At 33.9% G+C, this 26,760-nt stretch overlaps 1 protein-coding gene across 35 annotated transcripts in view; it reads left to right on the plus strand.

Moving 5' to 3' along the window:
- CCSER1 (coiled-coil serine rich protein 1) overlaps nt 1-26,760 on the plus strand; it is a 1,477,902-nt gene that overhangs the window by 499,214 nt on the left and 951,928 nt on the right. For all 35 annotated transcript variants that reach the window (XR_001741218.2, XR_938733.3, XR_938734.3 and 32 more), the window contains one exon: nt 1,418-1,625. Coding sequence is in view for 30 of the 35 variants with exons in the window: in XM_011531936.2 (XP_011530238.1) it covers nt 1,418-1,625 (208 nt within the window). In the remaining 5 variants the exon portion in view is untranslated. The remainder of the gene's footprint in view (nt 1-1,417; nt 1,626-26,760) is intronic.

Genomic DNA, 26,760 nt, shown 5'->3' on the forward strand with positions numbered 1-26,760 from the left:
CAAAATGCAGCACTGTTGTGGTTTAGAGCTAAGTATGTATTGCCAGCATTCAAACCTCAGCAATGTCTTTTGTTAGCTGTGTGACCATCAGCAAGTTACTTAACCTCTCTTGACTCAAATCACCCCACTGGGAAATGGATATTATAATAGTACTAACCTTAAAGAATTGTTGTGAGAATTAAATGATTTAACACCTATAAGGACATTACATGACTGCCTGAGGTTCAATAAGAACTATATAAATATTAGCTATTATTATATGCATGCACATTATGTAGTTAGTAGGGGGCAAAATCCTAGGTTATTTCATTTTACATCCATTTCTCACTAACTCTTTAACTCCAAGAAAAGTTACTTATCTGTACTTTATTTCATCTACCTCTTGAAGTTGTTCAAAGTTTGAATGAATTAACACACATGGAGTGGTTAGCACAGTACTTGGCCAATAGTCAACCCTCAAAAAATGTTAGCCATAATTTTTTATTCCTTATTTCATTATAGATATAAAATGGAGGTAGTAATTATTATCTTATCCCTTCACAGGACAATTGAACCACTGAACATATCTGTGAAGATAAGTAAACAGTTGAATATTATTCAAAAATGTGTTTACTAATTATCTAGTAATTTATAAATTCAGTTATTCTGTTTGTGAATAATGAGATGTGAATAAAATTAATTAAAATATATTTTCTTATCTGTATTATTGCCTGACCTTGGTGGCAAGCGCCAGAGCATCTGTTTGTTTTTTCTCTATTTAGGTTGCTAAAGTATCTTGTCATATAATTCAGAAAATTATATGATATAAAAATATATTATGTAAGAAAATAATATAATTCAGAAATATATGTATAGTATTGAAATTAAGCAGAAGCCCTAAACTGTTTTTATAAATATTCTGAAGTATGTTACAATATTAATTATCATTATTGGATAGGTCTTTTGGTTTTAAAAATGGAAACAATTTTTTTAATGGAAAGATTATATCCTAAAACAGTAATTTTCATTGAATCTTACCACTAAATGTATATTTGAACCATTTCATAATTTCTACTGGAATGTGTGAAAATTTTAAAAAACTACTATCATGAGGATGGAAGCAGTGGTGCACGCCTGTAATCCCAGCACTTTGAGAGGCCAAGGCAGGCGGATCACGAGGTCAGGAGATTGAGACCATCCTGGCTAACATAGTGAAACCCCATCTCTACTAAGAATACAAGATCACGCCACTGCACTCCAGCCTGGGGGACAGAGTGAGACTCCATCTCAAAAAATAAATAAATAAATAAACTAATATCATGAAATGAGGACACAAGAAATACTTTCTAGGATACTAGAAACATTGATTAACAACTTGGGAAATACTGCTCTAAGCATGCTGCACTGTAATTTTTGTTCTTTTTTTTTTTCTTGTTAGGAATCTTTCCCTGAAATTAACAAAGGACGTTGATCAAGAAGCCAGGTGTTCCCACATCAGCCGAATGCCCAACAGTCCATCTGCGGATTGGCCTCTACAAGGTGTGGAAGAAAACGGAGGCATAGATTCTCTGCCATTCAGACTGATGTTACAGGACTGCACGGCAGTCAAGACGTTATTATTAAAGATGAAGAGAGTTCTTCAAGAGGTAATGGTTTCCTCTAAGATTAATGTCCTTCAGTGCTGGTAGACAATGAAGTCTGCAGACGTGGTTAGACCCTGCTCTGTCAGTAATTAACTACATGACATTGGGCAGGGGTCAGGTTTCCTCTTGGAGCTTAGCTATTTTCATATGTCAAATGAGTGTTTTGAAGTTCTGGTTTATAAGGTACTCTTTAGCCTTAAAATTGTAAGAGTTTACGAAATACTTAAAAAAGAATAAATTGATCCCAAGCATCCCCCTATTTGTCAGGTAAGGAGAAATGAGTATCAGCTATATAGTTATGGTTACATGCTATTATAAAGCTATTGAGAAATCTATTAAATGTATTTCACATCAATGATACTGGGTCTTTGTTTATATGATACCATAAAAGTAGTTTATTTAGTCATTTTTGTTCCAATAATCAGAATTCAGTAAAATTGAATTACAGTAAAATTCAATCTGAAGGTCTGAATGATTTTGCCTAAGGAATGTAGTTGCCCTCCCCACAGCTTGGGCCTAGTTACTGAAACAGTGAGCTAGTCAGGAAAATGCATAATGAGATTCTTTTACCCTTGTGCCCAGAAATCAGCCATTCTTTAGGACTCAAGTTTGCTTTGGTTTGATTTTTATAATTACAACAGTTGTTTTATTTGAGGGATTTCTATACAAAGTATACCCGTGATTATTATTACTTCATAGACATGTGAAGTGAGAGTTAGAAATTTTAAATTATTTTTCTCAAGTAAGTGTAATTTCAGGGCAACAGCCTGAAATTTGTGTCTTTGTATTACATCCTATTATATTTAAGTAGATTTATCTTTATTGATTGGAGATATTAATAAAGAATTGAGAAAAATATTATTATTTAGAATTAATGGTCCCTATGTTATAATGATTGCTAATATTTGCTTTTTGAACACTTTGATAATAATGCTAGCAGCTACCACTGGAGGCTAGAATTGAATCAGGAAGAAAAAAGGCAGTATAAAAGAAATGAATGCCATAGACTATTGGGGCTTCCAGTAATGTGTTCTCATCAGCTGTTATAAACTGTATTAGTCTGTTCTTACACTGCTAATAAAGACATACCTGAGGCTAGGTAATTTATAAAGGAAAGAGATTTAGTTGACTCACAGTTCCATATGGCTGGGGAGGCCTGACAATCACAGCAGAAGGCGATGAAGGAGCAAAGTCACGTCTTACACGGCGGCAGGCAAGAGAGCTTGTGCAGGGAAACTCTTATTTATGAAACCATCAGATCTCATGAGACTTATTCACTACCATGAGAACTGTATGTGGGGAACTGCCCCCATGATTCAGTTATCTCCACCTGCCTCCCCCACCCTTGACACATAGGGATTATTATGATTAAAGCTGAGATTTGGGTGGGGACACAGCCAAACCATATCATAAACAAAAGCTGGAAGATACCTTCTCTGTGTCCCATACAGGTTATATCTCTAGGGCAGCCTTTGTTTCTGGATATTCTGGATCCTATAATGTGTTGTGCTGTAGCGGTATGCTTATACTTGATTACTCTTAGAATTTCAGAAATTATATGAGCTGGCAGTTCAGCAAAGGCATCAAAATAAATTATATGAACTTAAATCAATTACTTTCAAAAAGGGTAATCAGTATTCAAAATGTGTTTTCTATTTGTTTTACTATTATCTACACTTGTGAGATTATTTACATCTTTTAGAATCACATGGTGGAAGTACTATATAATTCTGACTGTACAGATTTCCAACATGTAGATTCATTTATGTCATTTTGGTAGCTTGAAATCAGCCATGTGGGAGTATTTATGCCTCAGAAATTGGCAAACACTGCAAATTAGGGCCTCTTATTTTTGGCAAGCCTGTTGTTAAATATTGACTAGCACATTACTATGTGTATAACTGTATGATTCTATACTGACAACATAAATATTTGCCTGCAAATGAATAGATAAGTTTGAATTTCTTCCACCTTTGGCTTAACATGCAACCTGATCCTCTTTGAACAAGACAAACTTAGTAACAGCTGTTATATTAGAAGATACTAGTCTCAACTATTCAGCTTTTTACCTCTGTTTGGTCTGAATTTTAATAACAAATCAGTTAAAGCAAAAGATAAGTAGAAAGAGCTGACAGAAGGTGTCAAGAGGCTTTCTTAGAGTACTTAATTTTATAATTTTAAAATATTCAGTGATATTCACTATAAAGTCAATATTCAGAATATATTTAGATGGTTTCTATACTGCCACCTGGTTTTCTTTATTAAGGGGTATTCGAAGAAGCTGAAGAGAATTGATTTTTTAAAGCTGATGTAGAGTGAACAATACTTAATATATGTTTGTGCAGCCCATTCAGTGAGCAGAGGGTCTTTATTATCAACAGGGAAAAGCAATAGTATTATATGATTAGCATAGACAACAGTTCTACTAAGAAGATATTCATAATAGAGGCCTCTAAAGAAAATTGTTTTTTGAAATGTTCCCTAAGCCAGGAAGTTTTAAACTTCCATTCCCATTTCATTACTAAATTGGAGTTTAATATCAATATTCATTTAGATTAACAATATATTTTAATATAAAAAATTCATTCCTATTTTGAGCTGATTTTTATGATGCACAATCGTTCAATCTTTGTTCACAGATTATTATTATTATTATTATTATTATTATTATTATTATTATTTGAGATGGAGTCTCGCTCTGTCACCCAGGCTGGAGTGCAGTGGCGCGATCTCAGCTCACTGCAAGCTCCGCCTCCCGGGTTCACGCCATTCTCCTGCCTCAGCCTCCCGAGTAGCTGGGACAACAGGCACCTGCCACCATGCCCGGCTAATTTTATGTATTTTTAGTAGAGACGGGGTTTCACTGCGTTGGCCAGGATGGTCTTGATCTCATGACCTCGTGATCCGCCCGCCTAGGCCTCCCAAAGTGCTGGGACTACAGGCATGAGCCGCCGCACCTGGCCAAGTTCACAGATTATTTTTTAATGGCAGGAGGTACCTATTTGATTTTAAGGTAAAATAATTACTTAATTTTTACATGTCATATTAGAATATGCTTTTATTTGAGATTTTTGGTTTGTTACATGAGTATTGCATTTGTATATTTTTTCTCATTGATCTCTTTGAAACCTATGACTTAGTGGAAATGCAATGCATTCATGATATTTTTACACTTTTGCTAATAAAGGTACACCTTTCTTGTGAGCAAATCAAGTTATCCTTTGTTGTTTTTGAGGGAACATCTTCTACAAATAGCATTTGAAAATATCCAGAGATAGTAATAGTGAGATCACAGAAAATTTTTGGCTTAATCTGTTTAAGATTGCTCTAGGGTTGTGGTTAATGACTAGCGGCTAGAAGGATGCCTCGACAGAGTGTTAATAGATGACTTTCCTAAAGTTTCTAGAACTGTTTCAGGGTTGTGGAGTAATAAAAATAATTCCTTGGAAAGTTCTACACAGCAGGCTAAATAAATATACAGGTCGAGCATCCCTAATCTGAAAATCCAAAATCCAAAATGCTCCAAAATTTAAAGCTTTTTGAGCACTGACGTGACACCACAAGTGGAAAATTCCACATATAAGTACTTTAAACCACTTGTTTTATACATAAAATTATTAAAAATATTGTATAAAATTACCTTTGGGCTATGTCTATAAAGTATATATGAAACATAAATGACTTTCATGTTTAGAGTTGGGTCCCGTTCCCAAGACATCTCATAAGGTATATGCAAATATTCTAAAGTCTGAAAAAATTCAAAAAACACTTCTGGTCCCAAGCCTTTTAGAGAAGGGGTACTCGACCTGTACTCTATCTTTCAAGTACTCTTATCTATATAGTCCATATTACTTATGGCATTTTAATGAATATAAGCATTAACGCTGAGATCTACTTGTAATATTTTAAAGCTACCTATAAAATTTACTTCTTTCTAAATTTTTTTGTGAGGTATCACATGTTTAATATTATTTTGCAATTTTTATTACTGGCTAAACAACCTTAGATTGCTATTAAAATGTTAAATCCCATTAGCTCATTCCAGATTTTTTTAAAAGTTATTTTGTCATTAACTGTAATTGCATTACTTATTATTCTACCTACTTTGGGTTTAATAAAAATTTTCATCAAGTAATTCATTTGGCACTTAGTAATTCTTCCATTTTGTGCCATCACCATAACAACATAAATCATATTAATCTAATCCAGGTTTGGGGATTATATATGTTATGCTATTTTATAATATATAATATATACTTTCAATAAAATATAATTTTGAAAGTGAATACACCTGCAAAAGTGAATCTAACATTGTGTTTGTATCTGAATCATCTTGGGTAGGAACCAGAGATGGAGATGAGTAATGGGTAGGCATTGCTCTAAATATTCTGCTTCAGTAAACCTGTCTTTGGCCCAAGCATGTGAATGGTGAGGACTTTCTCAGTGTCTCTTCCAAGTATACTGGAAAAGCACTGGGTTAGGATATTGTGTTTTAGACTGTTGGTATTAAACATCCTGAAACCTTCCTCTACTTAGGAGATTCTTGCTCCTGAATACTTTTCAGATCTGCTTATATGCATCTCTTCTTCCAACTGCTCCTACATCAATGATGGTCCATTTTACTGAAGTTACTTCACAACTGGTCTTACTTCTAGTCTTCCCACCTATCAAATCAATTTACTCATTGCTGTCAGGCTAAAATGATTATGTGATCAAGTCAGTCCCTGTATATCTTTAAATGTTTCCTAATTGCCCTTACAAGTTCTTCTACAGGTTGTATAACAGTCTATATTTCCTCTATCATTGGAGCACTTATGTCTCCTCATTTTAATTGCTAATCTTCCTTTTCCCAGTGATATTCTAAGATGCAGGAAAATGATCTTGTGAACTTGTACCTTGTTATATCTTCTCAACCTGGAAGGTATTTGCTGCTTAATAAGTGTTTATTAATAAATAAATGAAAGGAAATGGATTTCATTCTGTTTCCAGGCTACCATTAAAATAACTGTTGGCAGAAAACAAATGATAAACTTGAGTGCTTGATGGAATGAGGATCAAAGTAAGTATGTAGTAAATTTCTCCTCTTTAAAAGAAGTGTACAATATGTTTTTTTCTCAGAATATGAAATAAAGACACATCACAAAAATTACTAGATTTAATTTAATCAAGACCCATTTGTATGCCCAAGTCTATCAATGGTAGATATAATTTCCTGAAGCTTTTTCAGATCTTTCTATGCAGTAGATGGCTATGGTATTCCTTAACTGTATTTTTAAAATTATCTGCTAAATCTTCCAGATTAGAAGAAAGGCCTAGAGGTTTAGAGACTGGTTATTTCCATATGTACTCACTCTTTTCACACAGAGAAAATTTTGTTTTCACTGAACATCATTGCAATTTCAGAGGAAAAGGATAACTATAAATCATTATAAAACCACAAATCAGTTAATCTAATAAACATAAAATTATTGGTATAAAGCCATTATTACTTCTTATTTGTTTGGCTGAGCTTACCGTTTTCCTAGTGATGGTCTGTCGACCTCCTAGATTTTAATTTTGAGGTGAGCTAAGAATTAATAATCTGAATGGAGTATCACACTCCAAATTCTGTCATCCTTTTTTAAAGATCAGTTTCTTTTTATTAAAATGCACATTCATATTCCCAGCAACTTCAAATTTCAACTCCTTTATTTTTAGAAAAATGACCGATGTTGGGCCTTTAGAAATTCTATTGTTGTCACTTTATTCTCTAGTATTAGTGGGAAAAGACATGACTGTAGTAAGGGAAGAGAACTCTATCATTTTTTTCTTCTTTTTCTTAAATTTTTAAAAAATTTTATGATCTATAAAAGAAAATGTTTAATATCTACAGAGGTGGGTTTTGTTTTAATGCTTCCTTTTAGTTTGCTCTATTCTCTTTATCAAACAAATATATTTTGATATAATAAGCTGTATCTATTCTAACAAAATAGCCAGATAAGTAAAAATCAAGGAACTACTTATTTGAAAATTTATATAATTTACAGGCCCATATAGTTGATGCAAATATTGGGGCTGTGAAACATTTGCAAAAGACCCGCCATTGATTAAAGAGCTGGAATCTATTTTTCTTTTTCTTTTCTCTACTACCTAATAGTTCAAACATTAATTTCATTTTACCTAAAAGGAATAATAATTTAAGACTTTCAAGGATAATATTCAATGCAAAATTTTTGGTTTTTTTTCAGCGTAATTTGCAATTACATTATAAAATTTACAGTGTTTTCTACTTCATCATTTGTCACTGTTTGGTGGGAATTTTTAAAGAGTTTATTTTTACTGCATTTCAGTAATTGATTCAAAGGGCATTAATAAGGATTTTATAACTAAATGACATTTTCCTATCAGCACATCTTGAGATGGAAAGAAAAGTCTATAGGGTAGGAACTTCAGCAATGGATAATTAGAGAAGGAAATGGCCACAGTGGAGAGTCATAAAGTAAAGAAATATCCAAATCAAGCAATTACCATGGAAATATAGACAGCAGTCTAATAATCAGAATTCTCTTTATACTTATCATTTGAAAATAACAAAATTACAAGTTTTTGCTACCTTCTTTATGTTTATTTATTTATTTTTGCTGGTCCAGAAATATGTTTAAGGAAAATTAGAAAAACAAGTTTCATGAAAACATCAAATGGCAGAAAGTTAGAGTGACTATACTAGTATCAGAGTAGATCTAAATATATGACATTTCACCACAGTCAGAAAGCCATACTTCATAATGGTAAAAGTCAGTTCTTTAGGAAGACACAGCAATCAAACATGTGGATGGCTTGTTTCACCAATACACAATGCAAAAACTGACAGAACTAAGTGAAGAAATAAACAAATTAACAATCACAGTTGAAGAATTTAAAACATTTCTTTCTGTAATTGATAAAGCAACTAAATGAAAAAATCAGAAAATTTCTAGAAGACTTGAACAATATTATCAATATTTTTAACCCAATTGACATTTATAGAATACTACAATTAATAAAATAATTATATATTATTTTCAAATGCGAGTGGAACATCGTCAAGACACACTATATACTGGGTCACACAATAAGTCCCATTAAATTTAAAAGGTAGACATCTATGGGGTACATTTTTTGAGAAAAATGGAATGAAACTAGGAATCAAAAATAATAAAATAACTATAAAAGCATCAAATATTTGGAAATTAAATTACAAACTTCTATATAACCCACAGACGAATTTAGAAAGCTGAAAGGAAATTTTTAAATGTTTCCAATGAGATGATGATAATAATATCACAAATCAAAATTTTCTGGATATAGTTAAAACTATAATTACAGGGAAATTTGTGACTTTAAATGTTTATATTCAAATAAAGAGTGCGATAATTCGTAACCTTTAACTTTCTTCCTTGAAATGTTGGTTAATGGATACAAAAAAACAGTTGAATAGAAAAAAGTTCTAGTATTAAATAGTACAATTGGGAAATTATAGTTTATAATAATTTGTTATATTTCAAAATAGCTAGAAGATTTGTAATGTTCCCAACACAAAGAAAAGATACATGTTTGAGGTGATGTATATAGCAATTACCCTGATTTAATCACTCCACATTGTATACACACATTCAGAGATCACATGCACCCAAAAATATGTGCAACTATGAAATATCAATAAAAAAGGTAGCTAATAAAAGAAGGGCAAATTAAATCCAAACGAAGCATGTAGAAAGACATAATAAAGAACAAAACTCTATAAAATTAAAAACAAATAATAAGCCCAAATTGATTCTTTGAAAAAGTTCAAAAAAAGGCTGATAAAAAAAGATTATAGAAAAATTAAGAAACATAAATACTAGTGCCAGCAATGAATCTAGGGAGGAATAATCACTACAAATCCTGCAGACATCAACATGATAATAAGACATGGTTACAAAGAACATTATGGCAAAAAATTAACATAAATGACAAAAACAATTTTTTTGAAAAATACAGCTTTCCAAAGTGACATAAGAAATTGCAAATCTGAATAGCCTAACTTGTACTAAATTAATGTATTTTATTATTTAAAAAAGAAATACATATGACAGATATTATGTAAAAATTTTCAGGAAATAGAGACACATTATGCTTCTCATCTTGTTTTATGTGGCCAACATATGCCTATTAAAAAAAATTGGCAAAAATCCTTATAGGAAAAAGGAAATTACAGAATTTTTTTATAAATATAGATGCAAAAGTCACTTAAAAATTAGTAAATACGTGTAGCAATATGTAAATAATGACCTATTTGCTTTCATTCCAGTTTTTTTAGCATCCAAAAACCAAGCAATACAATTTACTATATTAAAATATTAAAAAGAGAAAAGCACAAGACTGTATTAATAGATGAAAAAAGTACCTTTGAAAAATTGAAAACCAATTTATGGCTCAAATAAAAATATAAACCTCAGTTTACTGGTAGTACAAGGGAACTTCTATAGCTAATATTCATACTTGATGGTAAAACACTGAAACTTCTCCTCCTAATATTATCAGCAAGGTAAGAATATCCACTCACCACGTTTGCTGTACGTGTGCTAGAGGTCCTAGCTAGGAATGAGGCAAGAAAAAGTGTAACAGGCATAAATATTTGAAAGAAAAGGTAAAACTGCATGTATGAGCAGATATGTTTGTTTATACAGATAACCTAAGAAATCTACAAAAAAGTTAATAATAAAATGACAGAATTAGCAGTAAATTTAATAGCATTGAAGAATATAAAGTTGTCATAAAATTATATATTGCTGTGTAGCAAATCAGCTGTAAAATCTAGTAGACTAAATCAATATTTGTTATTTCAAAGTTTCTATGGTTAGGAGTTTGAGAGTAGTTACCTATGGGTTATGGCTGAAGGCGTCTCATTAGTTTGCACTCAGGATGTCAACAATGGCTGTAGTCATGAATTCTTGGCTAAACTTGAAGATCTACTGCCTAGTTCACTCACTTGCTGTGGCAGGAGGACTCAGTTCTTCACTGCTGGTGCTCAAGAGGCCTCAGTTCCTTACCATGTAGCCTTTTCGCTGGTCAACATGGCAGTTGGCTTCCCCCTGACTACACAATCTGAGAGAGAGAAGACAAAATGCACAATGTCTTTTGTAACCTAGTCTCAGAAGTAATATACCATCACTTTTGTCAAATTTATTGGTCACAAAGATCAAACTTGATTTAGCATGGAAGAACAATATGTAAAGTATGAATACCAGGAGGTAGGGAACATTGTGGTCCATTTTGGAGGCTGTCTACCAGTCAATGGTGTATTCCTCTCATATGCAAAGTACACTCAGCCCCTCCCAAGGCCATTCAAAGTATCATTCAATTACAGCATCAATTCAAAGTGCAGAATCTCAAAATCTAAAGTGTGTATAGCCGTAGATGAGGTTTAAACACAGCAACTCAAGTATAGTTTTCCATTTTAACCTGTAAACTAATACACATGTTAGTAGTTTTTTGGTTAGGATTCAAGGCCTACTAAAAATTCTTGCTCTTTGTTCTGCCCTCTATGTTCTTTGTTCTAACCTCTGGGCAATTCTTTCTTATAAAGGTAGCACATGTTTTGCAGCAGAATAGTTTCTTCATCCTTATTTGTAGTTGTAGACATTGGTATCCAAAGGCCCTTTTCATTTTACTCTTTGTCCCTTAAAGACCAAACTTGGAAAGTGTTTCTGTGAATATAACTCTCTTAAATTCCTTTTGGGGTTGCCTGTGAACCTTATTCGGGAATCACTTCCTTAGACAAAATACGTACCCACAAATCGCTTCAAGATAAGCCCTACTCTAACTTGAAATAGGTGCGGGATAACTCCTTTAAGCTTTTGAAATTTTAATTGTTTGACTGTGAAGTTCGATGGGCCATACCTTAAAACCTTAAACAAAAGGCATCTTCTGTGTGAGTGAACTAGGTACTCTGCAGCACCACATTTTATCTTTTAGGACAGCTCTACATTGATTAAATAAATTTTAAGATAATAATTTTTTTTAATCTCAAATCATGTGGTTGTTGCACAGGTTTCCATGTTTATCAAAACTCATCAAATTACACATTTTGGATGGCAACACATGAAATATCATTACACAACTGTTAAGTGCCAGTGTCAGTGCTCCCATTTGTGGAGTTTTTAGTTTTCCCTTGTGAGACCTGTAAAACAACAATGACCATTTATCATACAGACTAACTTAGTATTGTCAGTTCTTATAAATTATTACAAGTTATTTTCCCTCATTGTTAGAATAACATAGGTTAAAAAAATTTACAAGGTAACATAGTCTTCATATACACATATGGATCCCATTGTATACTCCCTGGAGAAACCTCTGGTTTAGATAATGACATCTCTTAGACTGATAGATTTTTAGTAACAGTATTCTGCCTACATAAATAAGGCCTGGTTATGCTGCTGTACAACTTGGTCTTGAAAATAGATGAGGAGAGGAGGAAAGTATAATTCCATGACTCTTGCTTTGTAAACAACCCTAATTTTCAACAGTCCTCTTGGAGAGATTAGAGAAGGTGGAGAAAAAGTCTTTCCTAACCCCAACCCCATTTCACTCACAAAATTCCACTGGAGGAAGTATATTGCAGTGGTAAAGATTACAGTTGTTTTGAATCGTAGAGATCTAGGTGTGAATCTCACTTCTGCCATTGTATAGCTACTGTAAGTTGATTAATGTTTTCTTAAGTTTCTGTTTCATCATATGTAATATTAATAACTACCTCATAGGATTATTTGGACAATTAAGCAATAAAATGTGTACAGAACATCACAGTGTGAGTTTGGGGTAGGCACTCATGAACATGAGCCACTGCAGTGATCTTACTTGTGTGATAATTGCCAACTATGTCAAGCCACGTGTGAAATATTTGAGATTTCTTAAACACTTAAAAATATAACAATTAAAAAAGCATATATATATTCTTTATATATATATACACATATATATCAGTAAATGCTTCTTAATAGCATAATGTGTTGTATTCATTGAATCAATATCAATCAATATTGAATCAATATCAATAAAATTATCAATAATTTTTAATAAAATTAAAATAATTTACCAATAATTTTTAATAAAAGCCATACTATCTAAAACTAAAACTAGAAGGATTATTGCCATTTATGCTTTTCTGGACATACTCAATTATGGCAGCACATTTGACTTGACACCACTCCACAAAAGTACTACAACATGTCAATTGAATTTCCTGTTTAGAGTCAACATATACTGTGGTTGTTCCAGGTGAGAACTCAGGGTGACAGACCAGAATGAAAGAAATTGAGATAGAAGGGAAGAGATGTGTAGTGTTTTTTTGAAGTCTTGTCAATAGTACCTGCTTGTGAACTGGAATAGAGTGGTGACAGATAGAGAAAAATCAAGCATTACTCTGAAAGTTGTCACTTGAGTTACAGGCAGATTATATTGCCATTTTATGAGCCTTGGAAGACTAGAAGAGGAGTAACCTGTGCAAGACAGAAGGAAACAAGAGTTCTATTTTGATCAGGTGAAGGTTGAAATTCTTATTTCAACATGCAAATGTATGTGTCAAGCAGAAATTTGAATTAATGTGTCTGTACATCCAGCAAGATCATGGCTAGAAATGTAGATTGATTATTCATGATCATATAGATTCTATTTAAAGTTATGGAAGAGAGAATTTGTATTTAAAACCAGATTAGGATGTGCCAATATTTAATGATTGGAAAATCAAGAGAAAGAGTGTCCAGGGAGCTAGGAAGAACACTAAGAGCATAGTGTCTTTCAAAAAGCCAAGAGAAAATATTGCTTCAAGAAGGTCAGCTTGGGGAGGTGCTGAAAAGTAAGTAGGATAAGAAAAGATAAGCAATCGATTTGGCAATCCTTTGAAGTTAATTCCAAAAGCATAGTAATAAGCTTTAGGAATTTCAATATATAAAACAACCTATTCTAAGTGTTAACTTGGATAGTCAAAGCCTAGAATAGAAATAACCATTTCCATCTAGTTCTCAGTTGTTAAATTGTTTGTTAATTCCTTTATGGCATTGGTCTATGAATGTGAAAGACATGAAAATTAATAATAGATGTCCTGAGTTTTAAAAATAGCTTTTAAAGTAAGACATGTCTTAGTTTTGGAAGGAAACTATAGATTTTATTAGGTTAATCAAGAATGATAAACAAAAATTCATTTTATAGAGTATTCTCCATGTTGAGGTATCATTTTTCTTTTAAAAAGTATTATTTATATTACTTAATGTTATTACTTAATACTGCAGAATAAATCTAGCATAGTGATCACAGGATACAGTTATGATATGATTAGGCTTTACGTCCCCACCCAAATCTCATCTTGAATTGTAATCTCCATTATCCCCATAATCCCCAGATGTCAAGGGAGAGACCATGTGGAGGTAATTGAATCATGGGGATGATTTCTCCCATGCTGTTCTTGTGATAGTGAGTGAGTTCTCAGGAGACGTGATAGTTTAATAAGGGACTTTTTCCCCTTTCGCTCTGCACTTCTCCTTCCTGCCACCTTGTGAAGAAGGTGCCTTGCTTCCCTTTCATCTTCCACCATGACTGTAAGTTTTCTGAGGCCTCCCCAGCCATGCTGAATTATGAGTCAAACATCTTTCTTTTTTAAATTACCCAGTCCTGGGCAGTTCTTTATAGCAGTATGAAAACAGACTAATGCAAGGTACTAGAACAAACTGCTCAGATTTGAATTTCAGCTCTCACAATTACTAGGTGCATATGATTTTGGGCAGGGTGCCTAATCTCTCCGTGGAAATCTGGTCTCTTCCAAAAGTGTAATGGTGCATGTTCAAAACTACTAGATAATTTTAAGTTTTCCCTGGTGTTTTTATTACATTACTCTCCCAATGAGGTATAATATATTAATCTAAAATATATTTTATGTTAATTGTATTCTTATGCCCACAAAAAATATTTTGAGTACAAAAATCAAGTCACAGGTAAATCCTCATACAGAATATGGAGTTAAAAATATGCAAACTTAAATAATATGTTGTTAAGTAATAGATATGTATATAGTAAGACCATAAGAAAAAAGATTTAAAGAGTAAGAAGATGCTAAACACCGTATTCAGGGTAAGATTATCTGTTAGAGGTAGTGGGGGAAGGCATGTGCAGTTACGAAGGGGCACACAGAGGTCTTTCTAGGTATTATTATTTACAATATATTTTCTTACATTTTTTCAAAATAATTATGTATACATGTTTTCTTATGTATGTGAAATCTTATATTAAAAAACTCACTTTCCAAGTGTATGTAATCCGAGTGGTTCCCTGTACAGCAACATTACTCCCCACAACCCTTTTTCTTGTGTATCCCTATGCCTGTAAAAATGGCAGAAATATTTTGCCTACTCCTATGCTGTCAATGTATCTTCTGATATTTATATGATGTCAAAATGCAAGTGGAGCAGGATCAAGGTGAACAAATGTATACCCATATGCCAGAGATTTCTTTTCTGGTATGTGTACTTATATTATCTGCTAGTCATGCATAATATTTGATTGCTTATAAGAAAACGAACTGCAACCCACAGTTTTAACAATAATGCCACCTTCATTGTACCTAACTGGTGTGGTAATCTATTTGTGTTATTATCATATTCAATAATTAATCAAATAACCACTAATGTGGTTTTATTATGCATGTCTAACTTTCAGTTTTCTTCATGAATCCAGCATTAATGTTTCACTTGTAAAACAACTCACATACTTTTGTGTGATTCGATGGGCTAAATCCGACATTAAGAATTTCAAGCTGCAACATAACAGGTATACAGCAGACGGCACCCTGCAGAATCTCCAAGGAATACTTGAGTCGTCAGCGCTTCTGATGGGTTTTGGAAAAAGACAGTGAGCAGAGAATCACTTAAGCAAAGTGGAAAAGCCGTAATTGTGTTCCTCTGAGACACATTTTTACTGAAATTATGTTTTGTTTTTGTTTGAAAATCAGAATCAAAGGCATATTTAACTACAGTTAAAATAGCTGTTTTTAATGAGTGATTCTATCAAATATGATGTTACAACTTTAGATAACATAATGCAATTTCTTAAAAGTAGTATGAATCTAATAATATTCACATGTTTACAGATGAGCAAAAGTGTTTCAGAATCTAGTGACTCGTTTAGCTGGAATGCACTTATTCCTTAACTGTATCATTTTAACCTTGATAAAATTGAAAACTTGTGGAAATTGATGGACTTTATTTTAGTTTAGATTTACCAGTAGATAGACATTTACTATTTCAAATATTGTCATTTTAAATATGTTATTTTCTGGAGAGGCACAGTGGCTCATGCCTGTAATCCCAGCACTTCAGATAGCCTAGGCAGGAGGATTGCTTGAGCTCAGGAGTTCGAGACAAGCCTGGGCAACATAGAGATCTCATCTTTACTAAAAATAAAATTGTTAGGTGGATGTAGAGGCACACACTTGTAGTCTCAGCTACGCCTGTAGTCCCAGCTACTCTGGAGGCTGACATGGGAGGATGGCTTGAGCCCAGGAGTTTGAGGCTGCAATAAGGTGTGATTGTGCCATTGCACCCCAGCCTGGGCAACAAAGCAAGACCCTGTCTCAAAAATAAATACATACATACATACATGCATTATTTTCTGTTTTTTTTTTTTTTAAAGTAAAAGTGCTCAAGATATATAGAGGACTAGCTATTGATAAAATAGAAATGAGTCAATTTATATTTAAGATAAATACGTGTGAACATAAGTAGACCCATTTGTTTTGTTCTCTTTGATTAAATGGACTTTTGAGCAGACTATGAAGAGTGGAGTGTTTAAAAAAAATAATGATTTCTCATGAAATATTCACTTCACTTCTCTTGAAAACATGAATATTGTTTTGTTATGCATGATCTACATTAGGAGTCAGCAAACTTTTTCTGTCAAGGCTAGTTAGTAAATATTTTAGGTTTTTCTGACTGTATATTTTCTGTATTTCAACTCCTCAACTAAGTTGTAGTGTGAAAGCAGCTACATTAAATGAATGAATGTGTGTTGCTAGTTCCCATAACACTTTGTTTAAGGAAACAGGCAGCTGTCCAGATTCAGGATTTGTCCTGGGCCTGTCATCCTATACTACTTCAGAGAGAGGAGATTAAACTGTCATGGGAGGCATTGGGTCCGTGACATTGGAGCATTAGTTTTAGGAGCAAGAATATACAGTCTAAATCTTATTCCATTACTAGTTAAATGTTCTTAGGCAGGTTGTTTAAATTCTTTGCCTCAGTAGGTTGGGGATAACAGTCACATATCACTTAGGTTTGTAGAGAATATTAAATGTGTTAATATACTTCAAATGCATGGAACAGTGTTGGACACATAGCAAATGCTCAATACGTATTAGATATTATTTTATGATTTTCACAAAGTCTGAGGGCCACTAGTGAAACAAAGAAACTGGATTTGCCATTAGACAAGCCTGAATTCAAATCTTAGATCTACAAAAATTTAAGAATGTAATTTAATTCAGTTTTGTTTAATTTCTTTAGCAGTCATAGGTTTCTTTGGGTGTAATAAGGGGATTAAAAAAATCATATAAATGTTGTTGTAAAGGTTAGATTTCATTTGTGTCTGGCAATGGAAGGATCTAAATAAATGTTACTTCTCTTTCCCCCTTAAAAAGTTTTTTTTAATTTTAGTATTAATTCTAAATTTGTTGCCCAGGTTGGTTTTGATTGCTGGCTTGATAGTACATTTATGATTATAGTTTTCTCTAGAACTGGTCCTTGATTTTAGTATCCTATTTCTTTCATGTGCCAGAGCTGAAGTTTGGGCCTTGAGCCTCACGTTTGTTGCAGAGATTCTTTTGCTAGTTCACAGGATTTCTAAACACAGGTTTAATATCCCTTATCCAAAACACTTAGGATCAGAAGTGTTTCAGATTTCAGAGTTTTTGGATTTTGGAATATTTGCGTATATGTAATGAGATATCTTGGGAATGGGACACAAGTCTAAACACAAAATTCATTTGTGTTTCATATACATCCTAAGCACACAACCTAACGATAATTTTATACAATATTTTTAATAGTTTTGTTCATGAAGTAAACTTGTGTTATGTGTTCATGTGTGGAATTTTTCACTTGTGGCACCATGTTGGCACTCAAAAAGTTGTAGATTTTAGAGAATTTTTGATTTTTGGATTAGGGTTGCTCAATCTGTATTTTTTTTATTTAATTTAATTTAATTTTACATTCCAGGATATATGTGCAGAACATTCAGGTTTGTTACATAGATAAACGTGTGCCATGGTGGTTTACTGCATCTATAGACCCATCACCTAGGTATTAAGCTCCACGTGCATTGGCTATTTATCCTGATGCTCTCCCTCCCCAACCCCCAACAGGCCCCAGTGCGTGTTGTTCCCCTCCCTCTGTCCATGTGTTCTCATTATTCAGCTCCCACTTATAAGCGAGAAGACGTAGTGTTTGATTTTCTGTGCCTGCATAAGTTTGCTGAGGATAATGGCTTCCAGCTCCATCTATGTCCCTTCAAAGGACATGATCTTGGCCAGGTGCGGTGGCTCACACCTATAATCCCAGCACTTTGGGAGGCCGAGGCAGGCAGATCACCTGTGGTCAGGAGTTCAAGACCAGCCTGACCAATATGATGAAACCCCATCTCCACCGAGAGTACAAAAATTAGCTGGATGTCGTGGCACACACCTGTAATCCCAGATACTCGGGAGGCTAAGACAAGAGAATCACTTGAACCCAGGAGGTGGAGGTTGCAGTGAGCCGAGATCATGCCGTTGCACTCCAGCCTGGGCAACAAGAGTAAAACTCCGTCTAAAAAAAAAAAAAAAGAAAAAAAGACACGATCTCATTCTTTTGCGGCATAGTATTCCATTCAACCTGTACTTCTTATCCACCTTTCTAAGTCTCTGATCAAGTTACATTGTTTCATAGCAAATTTTGGATAGGATATCAGTGAATTATAAGCATGTCCAAATAGATACCTACGTTTACCTAGGTTTTAAAATCTTTCCAAAATTTTGTTTTGTTTTTAAGAAATATTCAAAAATGTTCGATGAAACAGAGATGTGTTGTAAGTGCTTTTCTTGCAAGGAATTCTGTGTTATAGTAATGATATTCGTAGCTTCTATTTGAAGCCAAACAATTTTAATTCATCTATATCTTCTTCTAAACAATTTCCTTTATATCTATACTTATAGTCTTCAAGGTGACATTTTATCTAGATATGTAGGGATTTACTGTTTACAACTTAAAACATTATTTTAATTGCGTATTCTCAGATGGAACAATCCTAATTTGCTGTTGTTTAAATTGTATTATTTATTTCCTATTCAGGGCTTTGGAAAGGCTCACAATCATCATATTTTTGTTTAACTTAACTCTTGGTTTATGGTTTTGACACATGGTCATAAAAACATGCTTTGATAAGGTGTGATCTAATTTAGTACCTACTGAAATTCTATGTCCCAATATGCCCTTACTGCTTTTTAAACCTAAGGCTGTTTTGAACCAAAAGCCAATTTTCTAATACTGGAAGGCTCATTTGCTCCACATTATTGAGAAACATATCTATTTTATTTAAGTACTTTAGAAATATCCTTGCTAGGGCTGTGTCAAATTTAAATACCACCGGAAAGATAATTGAAAACGCTAAATAATCTTGAATTGTTTCTTCTGAATATTTCTCTTTACTTGGTTAACATCCAAGACTATGTATCTTACTGACAAATTGTTTAATATCTGTCAAAGTTATATTTCTTTTTTCTAGAAACCCTCAGAAGAGGAAACAATTTTTTTTTGGTAATGAATTGTGGTAAAAGAGCAGTAAATATTGCCATGGATACATATAATTCTCTGGACCACAGGCCAAAAAACTGCTGGCGTTGATTTTGGGGAAAAAAATCAGCAGATAACATCTAAATCTCTGTGCATATAGCAAAAATAGGAATTTTGGGGGAAAAATAATCATACTATATAGTAATTTGTGTTTGGATTTGAGAATATTATAATAGTAGAGAATGAAAGTGATACCAGGATGCCTGAAGTGTGTGTATGTGTGTGTGCAGGAACATACATGAGTGCAAGTACACAAGTGCCTATATGTTCATTGGGTTTGAGTGTGTGTATTTGTATACACTGGGGTTTAGGAGGTAGAGTTGGAAGGGATCTTAAAAATAGACCTAAAAAACAAACACCTTAAATGCATAGATGACATCTATTGCTTCCTCTCTGTCAGGTTAAATTTGACCTCATTGAAATTTCTACCCAACCTTGCAAAAAAATACCAGGATGCATAAACCAGGAAGTATGTCTGCATTCAAACATTGCTTCTGAGCCATTTCTTGGTATCCTTATTGTCAGGTCTATCCTGCTTTTCTTCACTATGTTAACTGAACTTACTATTTCTGTCTACTTTTAGGCTCTGACTTTGACCTTTCCTGTGTGTGAATTTAATTTCTCCCTCTTAGCAGTAAAGCAATGCATAGATTACTTTTAATGACCCACCCTTTCCTTTCATTTGCATTAGCCCTATGATATTCTATATCTTCTTACTTTCCTAGGGTAGTAGAAGTCTTGGCTTGTTTTGCCAGACAGAGCAAAAGTGTCCTGGGATCCACCTAAATCTCGTAAAATATTTCCTTACACAGAACGCAAAATTGCTTAGTACTCTCTACAAATACCCTCATCCCCCCACCCCAACACACATCCTTTTCATTTTAAATGATAGCCCAGGATAAATGGTGTGTTTCCATCAGTGCTTCAGATTGCCATGTTCTTTCAGCTCATTATGCGCCCACCCAAATTGAATTTCTGTCCCTAGCATGATAAGCAAGCATTTAGGTTTAATTGAGAATTCTCCTTATCTTATTATAATGAGAATTTTTAACACCACCATTTCTGTAACCATTATGGTAGTTTAACTGCTGTTTTCTGATTATCAACTTTTGTGAGACTTTTACCATGTGCAGAGTGAGCCAGTTTGGCCACTGCCACAAGCGCTGTGGTATTGTTCCTTTATAATTTTTGAGAGTAAGACATGGACAGAGTAAATTGTGTTTAAGGAGGGGTTTTTGTTGTTGTTGTTGTTTCTCAGGTAGACACATATGAGCACGTTAACCGCTTTTACAGGGCTTTCTAGATTTCAAAAAGCTATTGGTCAATTTAGCAAATGTTAGTATTTTCAAACTTCTTAGAAATGTTCTTTATACTCTGCCATGAAAATTAAAACATAAAACTAGAAATTTGAAAGATCATAGCTTTTCTCCCCAAAAGCATGCTATGTATTTGTAAGGTAAGTAAAATGAGTGAAATAGGATGAATATTCAGTGATTTTAAAAATTGTGAAAAATAAAAACTATTTTTGACAATTAAAAAAATAGTAGTGTACTCTCCACTTTATACAAAATATATACTTTAAAATAACATTGATTGTAGAGTCGGGTGTAGGAGAACAAAAAGCAAATTCCAAAAATAGTTTATTTTACATTTGTTTATGATAAGTTTAAATGGACTTAAGTCATTTGTCCTAAGAGTTTAGGAAGTGAAGAAATTTCAAGATAGTAAGAAATCCAGATGAAAATGAAACTAATCAATCCATAAGTAATAACAATTGGTATTTGGCTTATACGTTATGTGAAAAACAGCAACAACAAAAAATATTCATGCCTGTGCTTAACATCTCAGTGGGGAGAAATAGGCAGAGGAAAACATGTTTAAAATAAGATAATTTATACGATATTTTAATTGTGCCTCCATTTCTTAAGGGAACTTTTTTTCATTCACTATCTGCTTGAGCTTTATGTTTACCTTTTAGGTTCAATATTAGAGTATTAGGTGCAATTATTTTATAGGCTCCTTACCGTAGTTATAGAATTCAGTTTAGACATAGACTCACAGTTTTTTGTTCAGTTTATCAACAAATTTTCATTGTATGTCAGTCTCTGAGTCTACAAAAAGGAAAGACAAAATGAGAGGAATAAAGGAAAAAAAGAAGAAAGAAAGAGAGAGAGAAAGAAAGGAAAGAAAGAAAGAAAGAAAGAAAGAAAGAAAGAAAGAAAGAAAGAAAGAAAGAAAGAGAGTTGCCCTCAAGAAAGAAGTATACAAGTTCCTGGTATTCAAAAAATTAAGTCATACTTAAAGCCTGAAATTTCTGTGGTTGTAGGGCATACTATAAGAGAGAGTTTCTAAGAAAACCAGTTGTTATGGAATGAATTGTATGTCCCCAAAATTAATATGTTAAAGCCCTAACCACCAATGTGACTGTATTTGGAGATAAGGCCTTTAACTAAGGTTAAATGAGGTTATAAGAGTAGGGCCCTAATTCAATATGATTGTTGTCTTTATAAGAAGACAAAGAAACAGTAAAAGCCAAGTGAGGACAGAGAGAGAATGCACCATCTGCAAGCCAAGAAGAGAAGCTGTAGGAGAAACCAAACTTGCTGACATCTTGATCTTGGACTTCTAGCTCCAGGACTTTGAAAAAATAAATTTCTGTTCTTTTAGCCACCCAATCTGTGGTATTTTGTTATGGCAGCCCTAGAAAAGTAATATACCAGTCAATATCCCAAATACAGTAGAAAGAACAAAGCCAAGATTAGATTTTATATGGGGAACCTTAGGACTTTGTGTGTTGTACTAATATAGGGAAGACAACCAAGAGAGTAACACGGTCTTATAATATTAGTGACAGAGCAGAAGTTAGCTGCTGCTTCTTACACATTCATCTATGTGCATGGCGATAAGGCTTGACAGCTTTGCACTGATAAGAAAACAGGGGCAATGCTCCTTGAATGGTTTCACTATTAAAATGGCCAAGAGGTTAAGTGAATTTTAAGAAATTTTTCATACAGAAGCATGTTGTGAAAATAACAATCCTGTCCAGAAATTAATTTGTGGGTTAATATGCAGGACATATTAGAATAAAGTTTATTGGGAGAAATGAAGATCAACTTTGATTCAGGTTTGAAATAGTAAGAATATGGAGTGTGGCAGTGGCAATGGGAAGCTAAGAAGAGAGAGGCTGAAGATTATATAAAAATTGGAAATGAAGAGATTAATTACTATTATAAACAGTATGCTTGTGCCCTCTCAATATTCACATGTTGAAAGACTAACCTTCAATGTGACTATGCTTAGAGACAGGGCTTGTGAGGATGTAATAAAGGTTAAATGAGGTCACAATCGTGGGGCCCTGAATCAGTAGGGTGGGTGCACTTAGAGGAAGAGACACCAAAGTTTTCTGTCTCTACCATGTGAGGACACAGTGAGAAGGCAGCTATTTGCAAGCCAGGAAGAGAGCCATCACCAAGAACTGAATCTGCCAGCCCCTTCATCTTGGATTTCCCAGCCTCCAAAACTGTGAGAAATATATTATCTGTTGTTTAAGCCATCAGTTTATAGTATTTTGTTATAGCAGCCCAAACATATTAAGACAAAGTGGTTGGGTACTTTGAAACTAATATTTTAACTAAAGCACTCTGAGCTTTAGAAATCATATTTATAATAACTATAATACATTTCCAAAGAAAGTATAATTTAGTGAAAATAAAGGGTCAAGGGGCTGGGTGTGGTGGCTCACACCTGTAATCCCAGGCCTTTGGGAGGCAGAGGTGGGTGGATCACGAGGTCGGGAGTTTGAGACCAGCCTGGCCAAAATGGCGAAACCCCATCTCTGCTAAACAAAAATTAGCCTGTAATCCCAGCACTTTGGGAGGCCAAGACGGGCAGATCATGAGGTCAGGAGTTTAAGACCAGCTTGGCCAACATAGTGAAACCCCGTGTCTACTAAAAACACAAAAAAATTAGCCGGGCATGGTGGCAGGCACCTGTAATCCCAGCTACTCGGGAGGCTGAGGCAGGAGAGTTGCTTGAACCTGGGAGGGAGAGGTTGCAGTGAGCCGAGGTTGCACCACTGCACTCCAGCCTGGGCGACTGAGCAAGACTCCGTCTCAAAAACAAACAAACAAACAAACAAACAGAAAGAAAAGAAAGGGTCAAGAAAGTGAAAACGAGGAAGAATCTTTTTGAGCAAAAAGGAAGAAGGTTGCCATGTTTTCTGTAAAATAAGAATAATGAAAAAAAAGAAAGCTTGTGGGATTCAATTGCAAAGGAAGTTCTTAATTAAGGAAAGGAACATGTTAAGATAGTAACAGGATAGTTTGGACACCAGACTTGTAAAGACTTTGGATAAAACTTATGATGAAAAAAGGAATGTGATGAATAGAAACAAGTCATTCTGAAACAACCTGCTTGTGCAATAAAAGAAAGGGAGATAATCAGTGAATGAAAGGGAATACCATATCAGGTCCAACCTCTTCAACAGCTAATATCTACTCTTTAATATGTTACCCCACTTTACACTCAGCATGCTTATAAATAGTGCTTCTTGGTATCAATTTTGCCTTTCCCTAAATACCTACATATTTTTTACACCATCATTTTACTGAATACCAATAATTAAAACCCAGGCTCTACTTTAACACAGTTTTATGCTAAGCCAATGTGTCACTAAGTCCTTTTCTTTCTGTAAAATCTTTTCTTCCTACCTCAACTTTTCTTCTCCATTTCTATAACCAATGCTCTAGTCTAAAATTGCTTTAAATATGTGAAATCTTGTAATAGTCTCATAACTAAGAAGCAGTATTGCAAAATGTTTAAGAACATAAACTATGAAGTCGAACTAACTTGGGATAGAATCTTGTCTCTGACGTTTGCATACTAAGTGCCTTTGGGGAAGTTATTTAATGTCTTCAATTCTGTTTCTTCATTTGTAGAATAAAGACTTGAATAATAGTAGATGAGAAAGGCTAATTACTACAGATAGAGAGAAAGAGAAATTTTCTCCTTTCTCTTCATTAATCCACTCATATCTATTTCATCATGTTATTTTCTCAAAAAATTTTAGCAGATTTCTATTTCATGGAAAATAAAGCCAAATTCATTCTTTATTCTACTATAAAGATACATGCACACGTATGTTTATTGTGGCACTATTCACAATAGCAAAGACTTGGAACCAGCCCAAATGTCCATCAGTGATAGACTAGATAAAGAAAATGTGGCACATATACACTATGGAATACTATGCAGCCATAAAAAAGGGTAAGTTCATGTCCTTTGCCAGGGATATGGATGAAGCTGGAAACCATCATTCTCAGCAAACTAACACAGGAACAGAAAACCAAACACCACACGTTCTCACTCATAAGTAGGAGTTGAACAATGAGAACACATGGACACAGGGATGGGAACATCACACACCGGGGTCTGTCAGGTGGTGGGGGATAGGGGAGGGATAGCATTAGGAGAAATAGCTAATGTAGGTGACAGGTCGATGGGTGCAACAAACCACCATGGCACGTGTATACCTACGTAACAAAACTGCACGTTCTCTGCATGCATCCCAGAACTTAAAGTATAATTAAAAAAAAAAAAGTTTGTAAAGCAAATAACTTGGAAGACAGAGATAGCGTTCCCCCTCTAGGACAGAGAGCAAATTTGAAAGCTAATGTCTCCTTCCAAGACAAGTTTTGGCAGGTTTGCTAGCAACACATTTAAAAGATTGTTGTTCCTAAGCTTGAGATTATTTAGCTGTGGCACAAACACAATGTGTGTATCCCTTCCACCTGGATTGCTTCATATAGTGTCCATTAAACTTGGGGGATGAGAAATAGCATGGACAACTGGAGTCAATGGAAAAATTAAGTTCATGCTACCTGCTATATCCTGAATAATAAATTTCCTGTATATTTAACCCAGAAAGTCTCAAGTGTTCTGCTAGCATTTATGAAACTGGGGCATACTAATTGATTTATATTTATTGAGTAAAATATCAGACCCCTCACAGTTATTTTCAAATTTAATATGCAAAATTTTTTCCTGTAGCAATTTAATTTATAAGTAAATTTTAAAATTGTAGGTGTATAAACAAATTTACTTCCTAAATATTTAAATGTAATAAAAACACTTAGGAATATAATTTTTGTATTTCAGGATGATTAAACATGCAGTAAAATAATGAAGTCACATGTTGCTACTGGAATCAAAAGTTCCTAGTTTTTGTGATGTCTTTTATAATAATGTTGTATATGATTGTAGAAATAATACTAAAATACTACATTATCAGATTTTCAGCACTTTTCTTCTGAAAATAATGGGCTGTTACTTTTGAGTCAGAGAATCAGTGGTCTGTTTGCATGTGTTGGAGCTGAGAAACTGATATCCCAAAATATGGCATTTTGACATGCTGAACTGAAGAAGCCTTAGGGTGTCTCTGACTATCTTTCCCAAAGGAAAAGATCTAGACCCAATAAGGAGAACAATATTCTTTTTCTTCTCTTCCCTGTTATCTTATTATCTATTGCAAAAAAGAAGACCAAGATGAGATCATACCTCAGTGGACCTTTTTATGAGTATAATAACTTACAAGCATAATGACAAGGACCATTTAAATTCCAAAGAAAACTATTTACAAGTTAATCTCTATTCCCCATTCAATCATTTTTGCTAGCAATTATTTATTGCCCTTCAACAGAATTCCTCTTCCCCTTTTTCCCATAACCTGTCTTACTAGAAGAATCCAAGGCCCCATTGTTTCTCTGTATCCTCAAAATTAAGTTTCTGTAACTCATTGGGAAGGTTTGGTCTTCATTCTGAAGGCTTCCGTGTATGCATGTTAAATAAATTTGTCTGCTGTTCCTCCTATTAATTAATATGCCTCATGCCTGTGATTTTTCAGAAAACTTTTAGGGGGCCAAGCCTATGGCTCCCACAAATGCATTTCAAGTCGTTTAACTGCCATCTTTCTTACCAGACAACCTACTTGTCTTTATAAAATAGATTTATTTGGTAATAAGAGTTCCTATTTAAAAAAAAAACTTGCTTTGAATTTCCAGCTGTCAGAGCTGTGTAATTTTATGTGTGCTTGTTTTTATTTGAGAGATTATATCCTCTTAAAAGGAAAACAAGTAACAGAGTAATGAAGATAAAATAATCTCATTTTTATAAAAAGTGTATTTTATATGTTTGCATATTTGTATATGAGAAACACTGCGCAGTGGTATCATGTGTTACCTAAGAAAGAATAGAGGAGTAGAGGGAAA

This window comes from Homo sapiens, chromosome 4 (genome assembly GCF_000001405.40).
Source record: "Homo sapiens chromosome 4, GRCh38.p14 Primary Assembly".
In the NCBI taxonomy this organism is placed as follows: Eukaryota; Metazoa; Chordata; class Mammalia; order Primates; family Hominidae; genus Homo; species Homo sapiens.